The sequence below is a fragment of the Homo sapiens genome, chromosome 4, assembly GCF_000001405.40.
Source record: "Homo sapiens chromosome 4, GRCh38.p14 Primary Assembly".
Classification (NCBI taxonomy): Eukaryota; Metazoa; Chordata; class Mammalia; order Primates; family Hominidae; genus Homo; species Homo sapiens.
In genome coordinates this window covers 67,896,168-67,915,222 of record NC_000004.12, presented here as the reverse complement: position 1 = coordinate 67,915,222, position 19,055 = coordinate 67,896,168, and the positions used below count along the sequence as shown (strand labels likewise).

Below are 19,055 nucleotides of genomic sequence, written 5' to 3'. Positions count from 1 at the left end.
ATTTATATATATATGATGTATAATATATGTATATTTCACATATATCTTATATATGTGAAAGCTCATCATAAACTTTAAATAATAAAATAAATGTACATAGTATTATAGGCATTTTATCAAGCCAATGGAGAAAACCATCTAGGCATGCAGAGTTTCTGGGAACAATCTGGAACCCACAAATAAAAGCTTTACAAAAGATAAAAGGCCTTCCTGAAATATATAAGCTGATTATTTTTAAGGTTAGATTTTCCAGGAAAAAGAATCCAAATGGCTTTCTTGCTTTGAGAAGTTTTTATAAAAATGTGATTGGACAATAATTATCGTTAGATGTGCCAGATTTAACCAGAAATTCTTTTTTCTAGAAACTGCTTATATTAACTTCATTCTGTATTGACAATTTTACCATGAAAAAAATATTAGGAAAGTCTGCTCACTTCACTCTAGCCAAAGATGCTGATTGTAAATACTAGAATAACTCTATTTTTCCTTAAGGGGAATCCCAAAATGATCTCCGAGAAGCCAGAGTGAAAATCATAAGTGATGATGTCTGCAAGCAACCACAGGTGTATGGCAATGATATAAAACCTGGAATGTTCTGTGCCGGATATATGGAAGGAATTTATGATGCCTGCAGGGTAAGTTGGAGGGATTTTTTTATATTACTAACTCAAAAATTTGTATCTGGCTCAGAATATATTATATGTTCTTTACATAAGGACAAAACATAGATATCATGTCAGCTCAAAAAAGTTACAAATGCAAATTTCACAGCACAAAATACTTTTAAATGTTTTATTAAGATAAATGAAGTAAGAGTTTCTCTGATGCTATCAAACAAACAAAATTAGAATTTCTTAACCAGAAATCCAAAGATTAATAAAGCAGTTTATTTTCTCAAGCGGCTCACATTCAAGAAAGAAAATAATCATAAACAGAGAAGTATAAAGTGATGTTATGAATAATATAATGAAAAGCAAATATTTTTCTTGAAGGAAACATTTTTGGAACAAGTATCAGAGAGATGAGACGTAAATAAGGCCTGAAGAATAAATAACATCCAATTTCAGAATAAGAAAATAATGTTATAGAAAAGACAAAAAGCATAGCCAAAATTATGAAGGTGTGAAATTACAATTCATATCTGAGGGAACTCCAAGTAATTGGTTGGGTCTCAGCATGAGGAGGATGAGAAGAGAAACAAGTAGATAACCATGAGAAGGTGGATTAGGCCATGTTGTGATTCCATGGGCCCTCCCCAGTGCCCTCATCTGCCTTCTAACATGGATGTTTTCCAGCGAAGGTACGTTTCTTCCTGGAGACACTTGCTTTTTAACATGAGATACTTTAGAACTCTAAGGAGGCCACTCTATGTGGAAATGATGGAATGGTATTGATATCAGGTGGCAGAAAGTCCTGTCCAGAGTCCCACAAACTGTACCACATGTGCGACCTCTATCAGAAAAGGAGCAGGGACCTATGTGACATAGAGGCTGGGCAAAAGCAGGATCTGGTCCACAGCCAGCCTCGGTTGCTAATAATGTGGAGGGAGGCAGGCAGAATTTAGGGATTCCAACAAAAGGTCCATACCACGGGGAACAGGTGGAAGGTGCAGGAGTCTTGGAGCAGACAGGACCGGGGAATTCAGGTGAACCATGACATTACTGAAAAGCCTTAGGAGGGATTGGTGGTCATAGAGATGCTTCACTGGATTGGGGAGCAGAGGTAAACTTGCTGCCTAACTGTGCAAAGTAAGTGATAAAACAAGGCTTTAGTCATAGAAAAATACAGTAAGTTATCAGGGCAGCGGTTCAGGTACAAGGATCCAAGACAGGAATACAGTGATTGTAATTGGGGCACATGGTGAGGGGCCTAGTCTGATACAACAGAAGTGCAAGCACCACCAACACCTCGTCTTTCTCCATAAGTCTTTCTCTCCAGAGCCCTCATGACCTAATCACCTCTTCTTAAGTCCCATCTCTCAACACTATTGTATTGGAGATTAAGTTTCCCCAACCTATGAACTCTTGGGCTCACATTCAAACCATAGCACCACCCAGCACAAAAGCACAGAGCTTCCAATCTGGTTTCTAGCTCCATACCCTAGAACCAAACAGTAAGAATCACCTCTGGAAATGTAGCAATAATATAATCATAATTTTTAAAATCCAGTGGAAGGATTGGAAGATAAAATCAAGGAAATCTCTCAGAAAGAACAACAACAACAAAAAAGACACAGAGGAGAAAAATAATCAGAAAAATTAAGAAAACTAGAGGATAAGCTCAGGAGATCCAACACCAAATGAATAGGAGCTCTGAAAACATAAAACGCGAGTGTACAATATAAAAAAAAATAAAGAATGCTCCTAGTTCTGAAGCTTACATGCATCCTATTGAAGAAAAGGTCCAAGTAGTGCTGGGCACAATAAATGAAGTACTTCTTTCCAAGACATACCATCATAAAGGGTCAGAAGCCAGGGATAAGGAGAACAATCTTAAAACTTTGAAGGAAGAACCATCAGAACTACATAGAACTCCTCAACAGTAACTCTAGAAGGTAGACGATGGTGGAAAACACATTCAAATTTCAAAGGGAAGATTATTTCAACCTAGATTCCTACCCATGCTAACTAAATATCAACTGTGAGGGTGGAATTAAGAAGTTTAGACAAGCAATGACTGAAAAAAATGTACTTCTGATACCCTACTTCTTAGGAAACTACTTGAGAGGGTACCTCAGCAAAATGAGGGAATAAATCAAGAAAGTGGAAGACGTAAGACCTGAAACTGTTAGTCCAACACTAAAGAGTGGTATCAGATAATCCCAACACCATAGCTCTGCACCAGGCTTAAAGTAACCAGCTCGAATTTGAGCAGAAGTAAGAAAAGATTGTGTGTATGTGTATGTGTATGTGTGTATGTGTGTGTGTGTGTGTGTGTGTGTTGATATGGTGGAACAGCTTCAGAGGAAGTAAAAGAACTAACAAGCTATCTGATGTCCTTGAACATTAGTAAACATTATTGTGAGGTGTTGGTAGATCTTTTGGAGCATTCAGCATTTACCAGGTACATAGAAAACTATCCACATGAAAAAAAGAGTTGTGTTATTAATTCTAGGAAAGCAAAAAAAGATTTCTGTAATCCAAATATGTTACTTGACTCTTCAATTAATAAAATTTACACACTGGTACTAAATGTAGGCTGTTAATTTAACCAAAAATAGAGATGCTATAATGTAAAGATGTGGTGTGGAAAAGTTGCAAAGAAGTTGTAAAACAACTAAATCCCTAACTACGTAAGAGAAAATAAATATTTACTGTCTAAACCTAGAAGCTGTAATTTGAGCATATTATCTAGTGATAAGGAGTTAGATACTATAAGAAATCATTAAACAAGCATGAAGTGGCTACCTCTTGGAGAACAGCTTGCGTGAGGTAACATGGGACATAACTGCTTTTCAAGCCTCTTCATGTTTTTTCGTTTTTGCCTTTTTTAACTAAGTGCTGTTTACTCTAACAAAATAAATTTTATTTTTTAAATGTGAAAGTTGAACCTTAAGGCTCTTTGTAATATTAAAATCCATGTCTCAATTAATTATTCTGTGTTGATAGTCTATACATGTACTGTCTAGTAACAAAATATGTGATTCATCAAAATATCTTAAATAATGAGCTTTATGTTTAGCTAATTTTCTTTCTTTTTTCTTATGTTTTTATTTTTAGGGTGATTCTGGGGGACCTTTAGTCACAAGGGATCTGAAAGATACGTGGTATCTCATTGGAATTGTAAGCTGGGGAGATAACTGTGGTCAAAAGGACAAGCCTGGAGTCTACACACAAGTGACTTATTACCGAAACTGGATTGCTTCAAAAACAGGCATCTAATTCACGATAAAAGTTAAACAAAGAAAGCTGTATGCAGGTCATATATGCATGAGAATTCAACTATTTAGTGGGTGTAGTACAACAAAGTGATATTAAATTACTGGATCTAGTAACATGAAACACACAACGTAAGTTATTTAGAATCACTTTAATCAACCAATAATCCTTAGCCAATTTATAAGGGACTTTTATTTGTAAAGTAATGGATCTGGCTTGAAAAATACGGTAGAGATACTTAGCTCTTTAAATCACGAATGTTGAAGTACCAGTGAGACTCAATACATATTTTTGAAGATAGTCCATGGGATTTTTAGAATGTCGTTGTCAAGGGTCTCCTTTTAACTGAGAAACTTTTTGAACTCACAAAGTGTTCAAGAAACCCTTGTATAATTCCCTACATTTCTCTCGAGCTCACAAATACTTTTTTTTCTTTTTCCTTATTCAATCAGATTTTCCAAAGTACCTTTCCACCATAAGAAATGAATTTTCTACTTCTACACCCATTTGAGAGACACCAATAAAAGAAAGTCATATGTAGGAAACAAAGTCTGATAGTAAAACAAGCCAGAGATCTTCTAACTTTTTTTAGTTATAAAACCTCTAATTTTTGGTGACTTTTCTACACACACACACACATACAGTCACATAGATATTCTTATCCTACAGATATAATCAGAAAAATCCCGATTAATGAATTATATATAGATAGATAGAGTGATTAGTTAATCAAAACTATATATTTGTTAAAAATTTGGGAGAAGGTGATGGTAATTTCATTAGTCCCAAAACACCGGCATAAGAAATTTGACATTTCACAGATGCACTTACATATTTTGACCACAAGGGGGAAATTTTGTGCATTATTATTGTAGGGTTAAATGCCTGAAAAAAATAAGCATTTACTAATACCTTGAAAAATCAAAGAACATTATGTTCCTCCGTAGCAAGAAAAATTTTATGCCCTCGCATTGCTACAGCCAAATAGCTTATAAGGCTTATGGCAATGTCCCAACTATTGCAATCATAAAACCCTAGTTTTAGAAAAATTTGAAAATAAATATAAAATTTGAGCACCTACTGCATATAACACATGGGGCTATAACATATAACATATAGTATGTTTTCTCTTTTGGACCACTTTGTTATATGTGGTCCACAAGAGAAAACATACTCCATCAGCAACGTGTCTCCTGAAGTCATTAGGAGAGTAAGGCTCATGTATTTCGTAATACAATTAAATTAAGGCTTTATGGAAGCAATTATTCTGCTTGGCAATGCCTGTGAAATATTATGGTCTGCAGGCTGGGGAGTCATTTACTCATTTAGCCCAAATATAAGACAAATCATTGGAACGATGAACTTGCTTTATAATAATTTCCCTCACATGCTATTGAGAAGGCATGAAAATAATCCTAAAATATCTAAAAGAGATATGCAGTTCACTCATAAAACACTTGATTCATAATTTAGACTCATAGAATTTTAAAGCTGAGAAGAGATTGCATGTCACATAGGCCAATATACTTATGTTATGTTTAAGAATATGAGTATATTCTTAACTATTTTTATTGAATTCTTAACTATTTTTATTGAATCATCAGATCTGTAAAATTTTAAGTGAGAGCTATTGAACCTGTATTAAGATAGAAAACTCTTAAGATAAGAATTTTAAATGACGAGATTCATTTAGGCAGCTGGCTGCCAATTCTCTGAATTCACTTCAAGACAAAGTTTCTTCTTCATATATAAATATACATAGGCATATAAATTATTCTATATTATGGTGGTAAAACTTAATGCTGACTTTGGATGTTCAGATTCAGGAAATGATCTTAGAATTATGAACTTTGTATTTTTAAACTATTTGGTGCAGCATTTCATTTTGGGTCACATGTAAGCAGATATTGATATGTCATTTTTAATCTAATAAAGTTGGTGATCAGAGCATTCTACAAACAATATCACTGAGTTTGTTTTAGGCCAGTATCATGAATCTTTCAACTGTCATTAAAATCACATTTCTTTTAAATAACTAGTTTGGATCACTCTGAAGCTGAGTTCACAAACTTGGCACTATTAATATTTTGATCTGGATAATGCTTTATTGTAAGGGGCTCTCCTGTTCATTGCAGAATACTTAGCAGCATCCCACTAGATGCCTGTAGCATACCCCTTTTCTCAAATTATTATAATAAAAAATATCTCCAGACATTGGCAAAGGTCCCCTAAGGTATAAAATTGTCCCCTTTTGAGAACCACTATTCTGGATTCACTTGATCATTTTTAGAAATGTGAGAGATGACTCAAAGTCATGACATCAAATATTCAGAAACTATAGTTTTCTGATCAAGCTGAACATTCACTATCATGTTCCTAAAAGAAATAACAGAATACATGACTGGTGCTTCAGTCTGTGGCTGTTTCAAATACAGACTGATCTCCCCGCACGTAATGTCCTCAAAGAATTTGTCTTATGCTTCTGCCTGAACTAGAGTATAGTCATAGAGCACCATTAAAGTTTTCCATGAAGACAGGGCTTTATGAAAAACACCCTCTACCTTGACCAAAATCCACAGTAGGAAATACATTTTACATCACAGCTCCCTACATATACAACCAAATACATACAAAAATTGAAACAGAAGTTTCATAAAACAATACTTACCATTACAAAATGCAAGGAAATCTAATATTTTCTACTTTATTGTACTCTATGCTGCTCAATTCTATTCTACTTTTAAAAAAACATTTACCCCGTCGAATAAATTGATTCCACAATCTAATCAATCATGACCGGCAATGCCAATAAATGTTCTCAAATAATCATTCACTATTATATTTTTTATTTGTATAAATTTAAGGGGTACAAAGTGCAGTTTTGTTACATGGATATATGTACAGTGGTGAAGTCTGAGCATTTAGTGTATTATTAACATTCATTTGGGGAGGAGTGGAACAGGATAACAGAATAGAAGCCTCCACTGATTGTCCCCCTTCCCAAAGGACACCAATTTAACAACTATCTACACAAAATGATCACCTTCATAAGAACCAAAAATAAGGTGAGAACTCACAGTATCCGGTTTTAACTTTATATCACTGAAAGAGGCACTGAAAAGGTAGGAGAAACAGTCCTGAATCACTGGCACCATGCCTCCCCCGTACCCTGGAAGCAGTGATGTGGTGCAAAGAATATTTTGGCGTGCTAGGCAGAGAGAGATGACAGTATTTTTGAGGCACTAAACTCAGTGCTGCCCTATTATAACAGAAAACAAACACAGACTAAACTCAGCTGACACCCACCCATGGAGCGAGTATGTAAACCAGCCACAACCAGAGGAGAATAATCTACCCCAGTGGTCCAGCCTTGTGTTCCTGCGAGCCTCACCACCACGGGCTAAAGTGCACTGCGGTTCCAAATAAACTTGACAGGCAGGCTAGGCAACAAGGATTGAAACACTTAGGTGTGTCCCAGTGCTGAACTGGGCCCAGAGAGAGTGGATTGGAGAGGACATGTAACCTACTGAGACCAGCTGAGAGAGTGCTTGCATCACCTCTCCCCTAAGCCCAGGCTGCACAACTCATGGCCCCAAAAGAGAATCATTCCCTCCATTTGAGGAGAGAGGACAGAATAGTGGGGAGGACTTTGTCTTGCATCTTGGATACAAGCTCAGCCACAGCAGGATAGGGCACGGGTCAGAGTCACGAGGCCCCCTTTCCAGGTCCTAGCTCCTGGATGATATTTCTAAACACACCCTGGGCCAGAAGGGACCCTGTTTCCTTGAAGGGAAGGACCCAGTTCTGGCAGGATTCATCACCCCGTAACGAAAGAGCCCTTGGGCCCTGAAGAACCAGCAGCAATACCTAGGTAATGTGTCGAAGGGTTTGTGTAAGACTCTAAGATGGGCTGGGCTCAGATGAGACTCAGCATATTCCCAGCTGTGGTGGCTACAAGACTCCTTTCCTTTAAGAACAGCAGAGGGAAAAGCAAAGGGGACTTTGTCCTGCACTTTCGGTACTAGCTTGGCCACAGGGGCATAGAGAACCAAGTGGGCCCTTGGGGTCTCCAACTAGGACTTGACCCTTGGATGGCATTTCTGGACCTTCCCTGGGCCAGAAGGGAGCCTATTCACCCTAAAGGGTGAATCTCAGGCCAGGCAGAATTCACCACATGCTGACGAAAGAGCCCTTGGGCCTTAGGGGAACATCAATAGTAGTCTGGCAGTACTCCCATGGGCCTGTGATAGTGATGGCCATGGGGTGAGTCTCCTCTGCCTTTGGAAAAGGGAAGGACTGCATCTCTTGGTTTGAGTGCCAGCTCAGGCACAGTACAATAGAAAGTCAGGTAGACTTCTAAAATTTTTGACTCTAGTCCCTGGCTCCCAGAAGGCACCCTGGACATGCCCAGGGGTGGGGGAACTCACCCTGAAGGGAAGGATACAGGACTGGCTGGCTTTGCCACTTGCTGATAGTAGAGTCCCAGGGCCTTGAATGAACATAGGTCATAGCCAGGGAGTGGTTATAGCAGGCCTTGGGTGAGACTCAGAGCTGTACTGGCTTTGGGTCTGACCCAGCACAGTTCTAGTAGTGTTGGTCATAGAGATGCTTGTGTTACACCATCCCCAGTTTCAGGTGTCTTAGAACACAGAGAGAGACTTCATTCACTTTGGAGAAAGTAAGGAAAGAGAACAAGAGTCTCTGCCTGGTAATCCAGAGAATCCTTTCGGCTCTTTTCCAAGACCATCAAGGCAGTACTCTATGAATCTGCAAGAACCAAAGTGTTACTGGGCCTTGGGTGCCCCCTTAAAGCAGATAGAGCTTGGATCACAACACTCAAGTCCTGTTAAATATCTGGAAAGCCTTCCCAAGAAGGATGGGTACAAATAAGCCCAGATTGAGAAAACTATAATAAATACCTAACTCTTCAAAGCTCAGACACTGAAGAACATCTACAAGCATTAACAACATCCAGGAAAAATGTGACCTCATCAAATGAACAAAATAAGGCACCAGGGACCAATCCTGGACAAAGAAGGATATGTGAACTTTAAAACAGATAATTCAAAATAGCCACGTTGAAGAAACTCAGAGAAATTCAAGACAAGACAGAGAAGGAATACAGAATGCAATCAGGTAAATTTAACAAAGAGATTGAAATAATTAGAAATTGGAGTTGAAAAATGCAACTGGCATACTGAAGAATGCATCAGAGTTTTTTAATAGCAGAAGTAACTAAACAGGAGAAAAAATTAGTGAGCCTGAAGATAGGGTATTTGAAAATTCAATCAGATGAAACAAAAGAAGAAAGAATTAAAAAAAAAAAAGAAGCACACCTACAAGATTTAGAAAATGGCCTAAAAAGAGCAAATTAAGAGTTTTTGGCCTTAAAGAGGAAACAGAGAAAGAGATAGAGGTAGAAGAGTTTCATTCAAGGGATAGTAATGGAGAACTTTACAAACCTAGAGAAAGATATCCATATCCAAGGACAAGAAGGTGACAGAACACCAAGCCAATTTAACCCAAAGAAGACTACCTCAAGGCATTTGCTAATCAAATTCCCAAAGGTCAAAGATAAAGAAAGGATCCTAAAAGCAACAAGAGAAAAGAAACAAATGACATACATTGGAGCTCCAATACATCTGGCAGCAGACTTTTCATTGGAAACCTTACCAGTCAGGAAAGAGTAGCATGACATATTTAAAGTGCTGAAGGAAAAAATATTTACCCCAGAAGAGTATATCCAGCGAATATGTATTTCAAACATGAAGGAGAAATGAAGACTTTCTCAGACAATCAAAAGCTGAGAGATTTCATCAACACAAGACCTGTCCTACAAGAATTGCTACAGGGAGTACTTCAATCAGAAAGAAAAGGATGTTAATAAAATTAGAGACAAGAAGGTACAAAACTCACTGATAATAGGAAATACATAGAAAAACACAGAATATTATAACACAGTAAATGTGGTGTGTAAACTACTCTTATCTTAAGTAGAAAGACTAAATGATGAACCAATCAAAAACAATAACTGCAATAACTATTCAAGACAAAGACAGTACAATACGATATAAATAGAAACAATAAAAAGTTAAAAAGCAGGGGAACTAAATTAAGGCATAAAGTCTTTGTTAGTTTTGTATTGGCTAGTTTGTTTGTTTATGAAAACAGTGTTAAATTGTTATCAGCTTAAAATAAAACATTTAAAACATTTTTTTAAATTGAAATAGTATCCAGCGTTTTGTCTGACCACCATAGAATAGAACTAAAAAGCAATAACAAGAGGAATTTGGGAAACTATACAAATACATACTATACAAATACATGTAAAGTAAATAATGCACTCCTGAATGACCAGTGAGTCATTAAAGAAATTAAAAATTAAAAAGGAAATTAAAAAAAATTCTTGAAACAAATGATAATGGAAACACAACACACTAAAACCTATAAAATATAGCAAAAGCAGTACTAAGAGAGAAGTTTATAGCTATAAGTGTCTACATCAAAAAAAAACAACTTCACATAAACAACCAATGATGCATCTTAAAGAACTAGGAAAGCAAGAGCAAACCAAACCCAAAATTAGTAGATGGAAATAAATAATAAAGATCAGAGCAGAAAAAAATGAAATTTAAATACAAAAAAATCAATGAAACAAAAAGTTAGTTTTTTGAAAAGATAAACAAAATTGATAAACCATTAGCTGGACTAAGAAAATAAGACAGACAATTCAAATAAATAAAGTCAAAGATGAAAAAGGAGACATTACAGCTGATATCACAGAAATTCAAAGGATCATTAGCAGCTACTATAAGCAAGCATATGTCAATAAGTTGGAAAACCTAGAAGAAATGAACAAATTCCTAGACACATACCACCTACCAAGATTGAACCATGAAGAAATCTAAAACCTTAATAGGCAAATAACAAGTAATGAGATTGAAGCTATAATAAAATATCTCCCAGTAAATAAAAGCCTGGGACCCGATGGCTTCACTACTGAATTCTACCAAACACTTAAAGAAAAACTAATACCAATACTACTCAAAATATTACAAACAACAGAGGAGAAGGAAATACTTCCAAATTCATTCTACAAGGGCAGAATTACCTTCATACCAAAACCAGACAAAGACTAGCCAAAAAAAGGAAACTACAGGCCAATATCTCTGATGAATATTGATGCAAATATCCTGCAAAAATACTAGCAAACCAAATTAAACAATATATTAAAAAGATCATTCATCATAATCAAATGGGATTTATTTCTAGGATGCAATGATGGGTTAACATATGCAATCAATTAATGTGATCCATTATATCAACAGAATGAAGGATAAAAGCCATATGATCATTTCAATTGATGCTGAAAAAGCATTTGATAAAATTCAACATCCCTTCATAATAAAAATCATCTAAAATCTGGGTATAGAAAGAACATACCTCAACATAATAAAATCCATATATGACAGACCCATAGCTAGTATCATACTGAATGGGGAAAAACTGAAAGTCTCTTTTCTAAGATCAGGAACGTGACAAGGATGCCCATTTTCACCACTGTTATTTGAAATATTACTGGAAGTCCTGGCTGGAGCAATGAGATAAGAGAAGGAAATAAAGGGCATTCAAATTAGAAAGGAAGAAGTCGAATTATCCTTGTTTGCAGATGATATAATCTTATAGTTGGAAAAACCTAAAGACTCCACCAAAAAAAACCATTAGAACTGATAAACAAATTCAGTTAAGTTGCAAGATACAAAAATCAACACAAAAACATTAGTAGCATTTCTATATGCCAACAGCAAACAATCTGAAAAAGAAATTAAAAACATAATTCCATTTACAGTAGCCACAAATAAAATTAAATACCTAGGAATTAACTCAACTGAAGAAGTGAAAGTTCTCTATGATGAAATCTGTAAAACACTAATAAAAGAAATTGAAGAAGTCACCAAATATGGAAAGATATTCCATGTTCATAGATTGGAAGGATCAATATTGTTAAAATGTCCATACTATCCAAAGCAATCTGTAGATTCAATGCAATCCCTATCAGAAGACCAATGATATTCTTCACAAAAATAGAAAAAACAATACTAAAATTTATATGGAATCCCAAAAGACCTGGAATAGTCAAAGCTACCCTAAGCAATAAGAACAAAACTGGAGAAATCACATTACTTGACTTGAAATTATACTACAGAGCTATTGTAACCAAAACAGCATAGTACTGGCATAGAAACAGACACATAGAACAATGGAACAGAATAGAGAATCCAGAAACAAATCCACACACCTAAAGTAAACTCATTTTTGACAAAGGTACCAAGAACAAACAGTGGGGAAAAGACAGTCTCTTCAATAAATGATGCTAGGATGGATATCCATATGCAGAAGAATGAAACTATACCCCATCTCTCATCATATACAAAAATCAAATCAGAATAGATTAAAGACTTAAATTTGAGACTCTAAGCTATGAAACTACTATAAGAAAACTTTGTGGAAACTCTCCAGTACATTGGTCTGGACAAAAAGTTTGTTTTTTTTTTCTTTTTTTTGGTGGGGCGGGGGAACAGAGTCGTTCTCTGTCACCCAGGCTGGAGTGCAATCGCATGATCTCAGCTCACTGCAACCTCCGCCTCCTGGGTTAAAGCAATTCTCCTGTCTCAGCCTCCCCAATAGCTGGGACTACAGGTGTACGCCACCATGCCTGGCTAATTTTTGTGTTCTTAGTAGAGATGGGGTTTCACCATTTTGGTAAGGGTGGTCTCGAAATCCTTACCTCAAGTGATCCACCTGCCTCAGCTTCTCAAAGTTCTAGGATTACAGGCATGAGCCACCGCACCCGGTGACAAAAAAAATTCTTGAGCGATAATACCCCACAAGCACAGGCAACCAAAGCAAAAAATGGACAAATGGGATCACATCAAGTTGAAAACCTTCTGCACAGCAAAGGAAACAATCAAAAAAGAGAAAAGACGACCCACAGAATGGAAGAAAATATCTGCAAACTGCCCATCTGATAAGGGATTAATAACTAGAATATATAAGGAGTTCACACCACTCTACAGGAAAAATCTAATAATCTGATTTAAAAATGAACAAAAGATCTGAATAGACATTTCTCAAAGAAGACATACAAGTGTCAAGCAGGCATATGAAAAGGTGCTCAATGTCATTGGTCATCAGAGAAATGCAAATCAAAACTACAATGAGATATCATCTCATCCCAGTTAAAATGGCTTATATCCAAAAGACAGGCAATAACAAATGCTGGCAAGGATGTGGAGAAAAGGGAACCCTTGTACACTGTGGGAATGTAAATTAGTACAACCACTATGGAGATCAGTTTGAAGGTTCCTCAAAAAACTAAAAATAGAGGTACCATATAATCCAGCAATCCCACTGCTAGGTATATGCCCTCCTTCCAAAAAAAAAAAAAAAAGGAAATGAGTATATCAAAGAGATATCTGCACTCCCATGTTTGTTGTAGCATGGTTCACGAACGACAGCCAAAATTTGGAAGCAATCTAAGGGTCCATCAACAGATAAATGGATAAAGAAAATGTGGTACTCGGCCAGACATGGTGGCTCACGCCTGTAATACCAGCACTTTGGGAGGCTGAGGCGGGTGGATCACCTGATGTTAGGAGTACGAGACCAGCCTGGCCAACATGGTGAAACCCCGTCTCTACTAAAAATACAAAAATTAGCCAGGCGTGGTGATGGGCGCCTATAATCCCAGCTACTTGGGAGATTGAGGCAGGGGAATCACTTGACTCCAGGAAGCACAGGTTGCAGTGAGCCAAGACTGTGCCACTGCACTCCAGCCTGGGCAACAAGAGCGAGACTCCATCTCAAAAAAAAAAAAAAAATTGTGGTACTCATACATGGAATTCTAACTGATGAACTTTTCCCCAAAAAACCCTAACATGAGCATACTCCAAATCCATAGGTATATTTGGAAACAAGGCCAAAAGCAAACCTCAGCCTTGCAACAGTTCACATTCCCTTTTTTGGTTTTAGTTGATTTACCAGTGTTCTTTCTTCCTGTTTCTCTTATGGATTTCACATATCTGAGTACTTCCAAATGACCATGATCGATATCCATGATTATATTCCTCTGATTGAGGCCCTTCCTTGTTGAATTTGTCTAATGGGAGACAACAGAGATAAAACTAAAAATAACACATGATATCTATTTTTAAAAGCTAATAGAAATAGGTATTTTAAAATTGATTTTTAAAATGATATTTTGCTCATAGATTTTGCTTATCTGTATAACACATTATTCTTTTATTTCCATTTGTAATCAGGATTTAATTGGTAAACTAACTTTTTAAACTGTTTTGATATTTTCTAAACTCAAGAGACTCCTCCTACACCAGAAGTCACTAAATAAAATAAAGCGGAAAAATACTAAATGTCAATCCAAAAAATATGCCAATGGAAGTGATCTGGGTCTTGTGAGCTAACAAAGGACTGGAAAACAGTGAGTGAGAGTATCAACACTCTCCGTATAAGGAGGTGCCTGAAACATCCAAACTTAGAGAAAGACTCGGTAACTGAAAAACCACTTATATGTGAACTAATGTAGTATTAGTATTTTGAGCTAGTATTAACTTAGTATTTTGAGCTAATGTTAAAATTTCTGAGGTCAAGTTTTAGAGAGAAGCCCGATCAAAAGCCATTTTACACATTTTTAATCTGAAGATTGTAACTGGTAGGGAAGGGAATCTGGATCCAAACCCACTTAGAGAATAGTTTCAAAAGAATGTGGGCATTTAAAGGCTAATTCTTAGACCAACAAATGGTAAAATCAGGCATAATAAAGTAACAATATTATTGGAAAAAATAAGGATGGAAAAGTTAAAGATACTATCTTAGGTTTATTCATTAAAAGACCTAAATGTGTCTGCTACATTTCTGAGCTAGGAAGTGAGTTAAACTGCAGTGACTTCTCCCTTCTGCTTCCAAGTAGGCAGAAACAGTAGTTAGCTGAGAACCTAACTCACACTTGGATTTTCTGCCTCTGGTTAATGTTTCTGAGATAGGTAGATATAACTCAGAGTGAGCTCTTAGTGAACTGGGCATAGGCGAGAACTGTGAAAGAATGAATAGATGTGGATAGAGTGGAAACTGAAGCTCCAAGTTACAAGAGAAATATTAATAGTTGTCAGCACTTAGGAGGGACCGATTCAGCAGCCCTCTAGACCCTGGCAAAGGCCAGAGGAACCCTCAAAGAATATACTCTACACAGCAGTCTTCCCTAAGGTTACACACTATTTACACACTATTGACATGCTATTTGCACCTCATCTTGGTATCCCAGAGACTATGCTGGTGGCACTCCTGTATTGGGCTATAGATTTCCCAAGTGCTTAAAAAAAAGCTATCAAGGGGATGTGTAACAGCATAGCCACTTTGGAAGAAAGTTTGACAGTTTCTTACAAAACTAAACATATTTTTTTTTTTTTTGAGATGGAGTATCACTCCGTTGCCCAGGCTGGAGTGCAATGGCGCAGTCTCGGCTCACTGCAACCTCTACCTCCCAGGTTCAAGCGATTCTCCTGCCTCAGCCTCCCAAGTAGCTGGGATTACAGGCACTCATCACCATGCCCAGCTAATTTTTGTATTTTTAGTAGAGACAGGGTTTCACCATGTTGGTCAGGCTGGTCTCGAACTCCTGACCTTGTGATCCACCCGCCTTGGCCTCTCAAAGTGCTGGGATTACAGGTGTGAGCCACCGTGCCTGGCCTACATACTCTTATGTATGATCCAGCAATCACTCTCTTTGGTATTTACTTAAATAAGTTGAAAGTTTATGTTCATACAAAAACCTGCACATAGTTGTTTATAGCCATTATAATTATCACAAGTTGTAATCAAGGTGTCCTTTAGTAGGATAATGGATTAAAAAAATAACTGTGGCAATACAATGGAAACCTTGAATGCATACTACTAAGTGAAAGAAGACAATTTTAAAAGAATCAGTGGTGGTCAGGGGTTGCTGGGTGGGGCAGGATAAATAGATGGAACACAGGGATTTTTAGAGAAGTGAAACTACTCTGTACCATAATATAATGGTGGATACATGTTATTGTACACATGTCAAAACCCATAGAATGTACACCACCAAGAGTGAACCCTAATGTAAACTATAGACTTTGGTTGATAATGATACCAATATAGCTTTACCAATTAGAACAAATGTACCACTCTGGTTCAGAATGTTGATAGTAGGGGAGGCTGTGCATGTGATGTGGTAAGAAGATATATGGAAACTCTCTGTACTTTCCATTTAATTTTTCTACATACATAAAATTGCTCTGAAAAATAAAATCTATTTATTATTATTATTATCATTATTATTATTATTATTATTATTATTATTATTATTATTTTGAGACAGAGTCTCACTGTCGCCAGCCTGGAGTGCAGTGGCACAATCTCGGCTCACTGCAACCTCTGCCTCCCAGGTTCAAGCGATTCTCCTGTCTCAGCCTCGTGAGTAGCTGGAACTACAGGCGTGCGCCACCACACCTGGCTAATTTTGGTATTTTTAGTAGAGACAGGGTTTCATCAGATTGGGTAGGATGGTCTTGATCTCTTGACCTCGTGATCCGCCCACCTCAGGCTCCCAAAGTGCTGGGATTACAGGTGTGAGTCACCGCGACCAGCCAAAATCTGTCTTTTTCAAAAAGCTACCAGATCCTTAAAGGCCCTTGGAGATGTGGTGGAATATAGAGGAGTATAAAAGGAGAATATAGAGTTCTGGATGAAGGCATGCAGGGAGTTAGAATAAGGGAACTAACTCTTCTATAGCTGAAGAATTCTGTGGCTGAATTTTATTGTTAAAGAAAACATAAAATCAGAAATTTTTGTAATAATCAAATTGAAATTCTTGTTCAATAGGTATAAACAGAGAATAGGAACCAAAGGTATTTTTCTTAAATAATTTAATAGCTGAATATCATGTAGCTTAAAATTCTGTGGAAATTGATGGTGATGATGCAGAGAGAGGGTCACTGCAGTATCTAATAGCTTCATGAGGATGTTGGAGACCTCCTTGCTAATGTCATACCAATGTTAGTAGGAAAAATCAAAGATAACAAGTAGGCTTCCGCAGTCAGAAAAAGAGAGTGATTTCTCAGATTACCCTCATCTGTCCTTAGCCTTGACATAAGCATTATTGGTTTGGGCACATTAGATGATATTATGTAGTATTTTGAAAATCTTTGCATAACTTACTGAATACTTTGTGTGGTTTAAACTATGGTAGCATCATAGCACAGAAAAAGTCATAGGTTGAGCAGCTCCCTGACTTACTGTCCTCATGAAGTAAACCACCTCTGAATTCTGGGCCCTCCAGGGCCATTGCAGGAGGTTCTGGCATTCTGTTAGACACTATTATCCATAGCAATTCTCCAGCTACCTTTGAGGCATCATCTGTATTAGTTGGAGCCTGGGAGCAAAATGACTCAAATTCTCAAGTTAGATATCCCAGAGAAAAGTTTCCCTTACCAATTCCTGATAATCTAGTTTCACCAGTGTCAAGCCTATGAATGTGTTATGCTACCTGACAAAAGGAACTCTGCAGATGTAAATAAGGCTATTAAGTATTAACATGTAGTTAAGATAATTCTAAGTTATCTGAGTGGGTCCAATGTAATAGCATGAATCCTTAAAAACAGAGCTAAGCAAATTTTCACCAACTTTGAAAGGTGCTATTGAAATAGTTTGCCTTAACATACTTAATACAATTTCCCTTGAGGATCCCCAGAGCCAAATCAGGAAAAATCCAAGTTCAACGAAAGGTTTACATGACTAAAGATCTAGAAGGACATGTTATGTCCTTCTAGTAAAACAAAACAAAGGCAGCATTTCCAAATAGAAACACTAACGTGATCATAAGGACAAATACTTTGAATTGCAGTGTTTGACTTGCAGTCCACTTAAGCAACCCTACATACCCTGATCTAGAGAAAATAATTAATTCTGAGAAATTAATAACTGTATATAATTAAATACAATTATTAACTGTACATATTTAAATAACTGTATATACTTAAATGCAGTTAATAATTCCTCAGAGCCACATTAGTCTATTTATGAGTGTTCTAACAAGATTTTTATTAATCAAGATAATGTGAACATTATGAAATCAACTGTAAAGATTTCAGCGTGTTCTATTCTTAAAAATGGTTAATATAGTTAAAGGTGACAGCGTGCTGGCAGCCCTCTCAGCCCTCGCTCGCTCTTGGCGCCTCCTCGGCCTCGGCGCCCACTCTGGCCGCACTTGAGGAGCCCTTCAGCCCGCCGCTGCACTGTAGGAGCCCCTTCCTGGGATGGCAGGGGCCAGAGCCGGCTCGCTCAGCCTGCGGGGAGATGTAGAGGGAGAGGCACAGGCGGGAACCAGGGCTGCGCTCTGCACTTGCCGGCCAGCTAGAGTTCCGGGTGGGTGTGGGCTTGGTGGGCCTGCACTTGGAGTGGCCGGCCGGCCCTGCCGCCGCTGGCAGTGAGGGGCTTAGCACCCGGGCCAGCAGTTGCAGAGGGTGTGCCGGGTCCCCCAGCAGTGCCAGCCCACTGGCGCTGTGCTTGATTTCTCTCCAAGCCTTAGCTGCCTCCCTGCGAGGCAGGGTTCAGGACCTGCAGCCTGCCATGCCTGAGCCTCACCCCCAACCCCTGCCACCGTGGGCTCCTGCACGGCCCCAGCCTCCCCATGAGTGCCATCCCCTGCTCCACAGCGCCTGGTCCCATTGACCGCCAGAGTGCGGGCGCACAGCAGGGGACTGGCAGGCAGTTCCACCTGCAACCCCAATGGGGGAGCCACTGGGTGAAGCCAGCTGGGCTCCTGAGTCTAGTGGGGACTTGGAGAACTTCTATGTCTAGCTGGAGGATTGTATATGCACCAAACAGCACCCTGTGTCTAGCCCATGGTTTGTAAATGCACCAATCAGCACTCTGTATCTAGCTAATCTGGTGGGGACTTGGAGAACCTTTGTGTCTAGCTAAGGGATTGTGAATACACCAATCGGCACTCTGTATCTAGCTCAAGGTTTGTAAATACACCAATCAGCACTCTGTATCTAGCTAATCTAGTGGGGACTTGGAGAACTTTTGTGTCTAGCTCCAGGATTGTAAATGCACCAATCAGCACCGTGTCAAAAT

General features: G+C 37.9%; 1 protein-coding gene across 2 annotated transcripts in view; it reads left to right on the top strand.

Moving 5' to 3' along the window:
* The window catches only part of TMPRSS11A (transmembrane serine protease 11A), a 54,099-nt gene extending 48,271 nt beyond the window's left edge, over nucleotides 1-5,828 (top strand). For both annotated transcript variants that reach the window (NM_001114387.2, NM_182606.4), the window contains exons 9-10: nucleotides 493-635; nucleotides 3,720-5,828. In NM_001114387.2, coding sequence (NP_001107859.1) covers nucleotides 493-635; nucleotides 3,720-3,881 — 305 coding nt within the window. In that variant the 3' untranslated portion in view covers nucleotides 3,882-5,828. The remainder of the gene's footprint in view (nucleotides 1-492; nucleotides 636-3,719) is intronic.
* The last annotated feature ends 13,227 nt before the right edge of the window (nucleotides 5,829-19,055 follow it).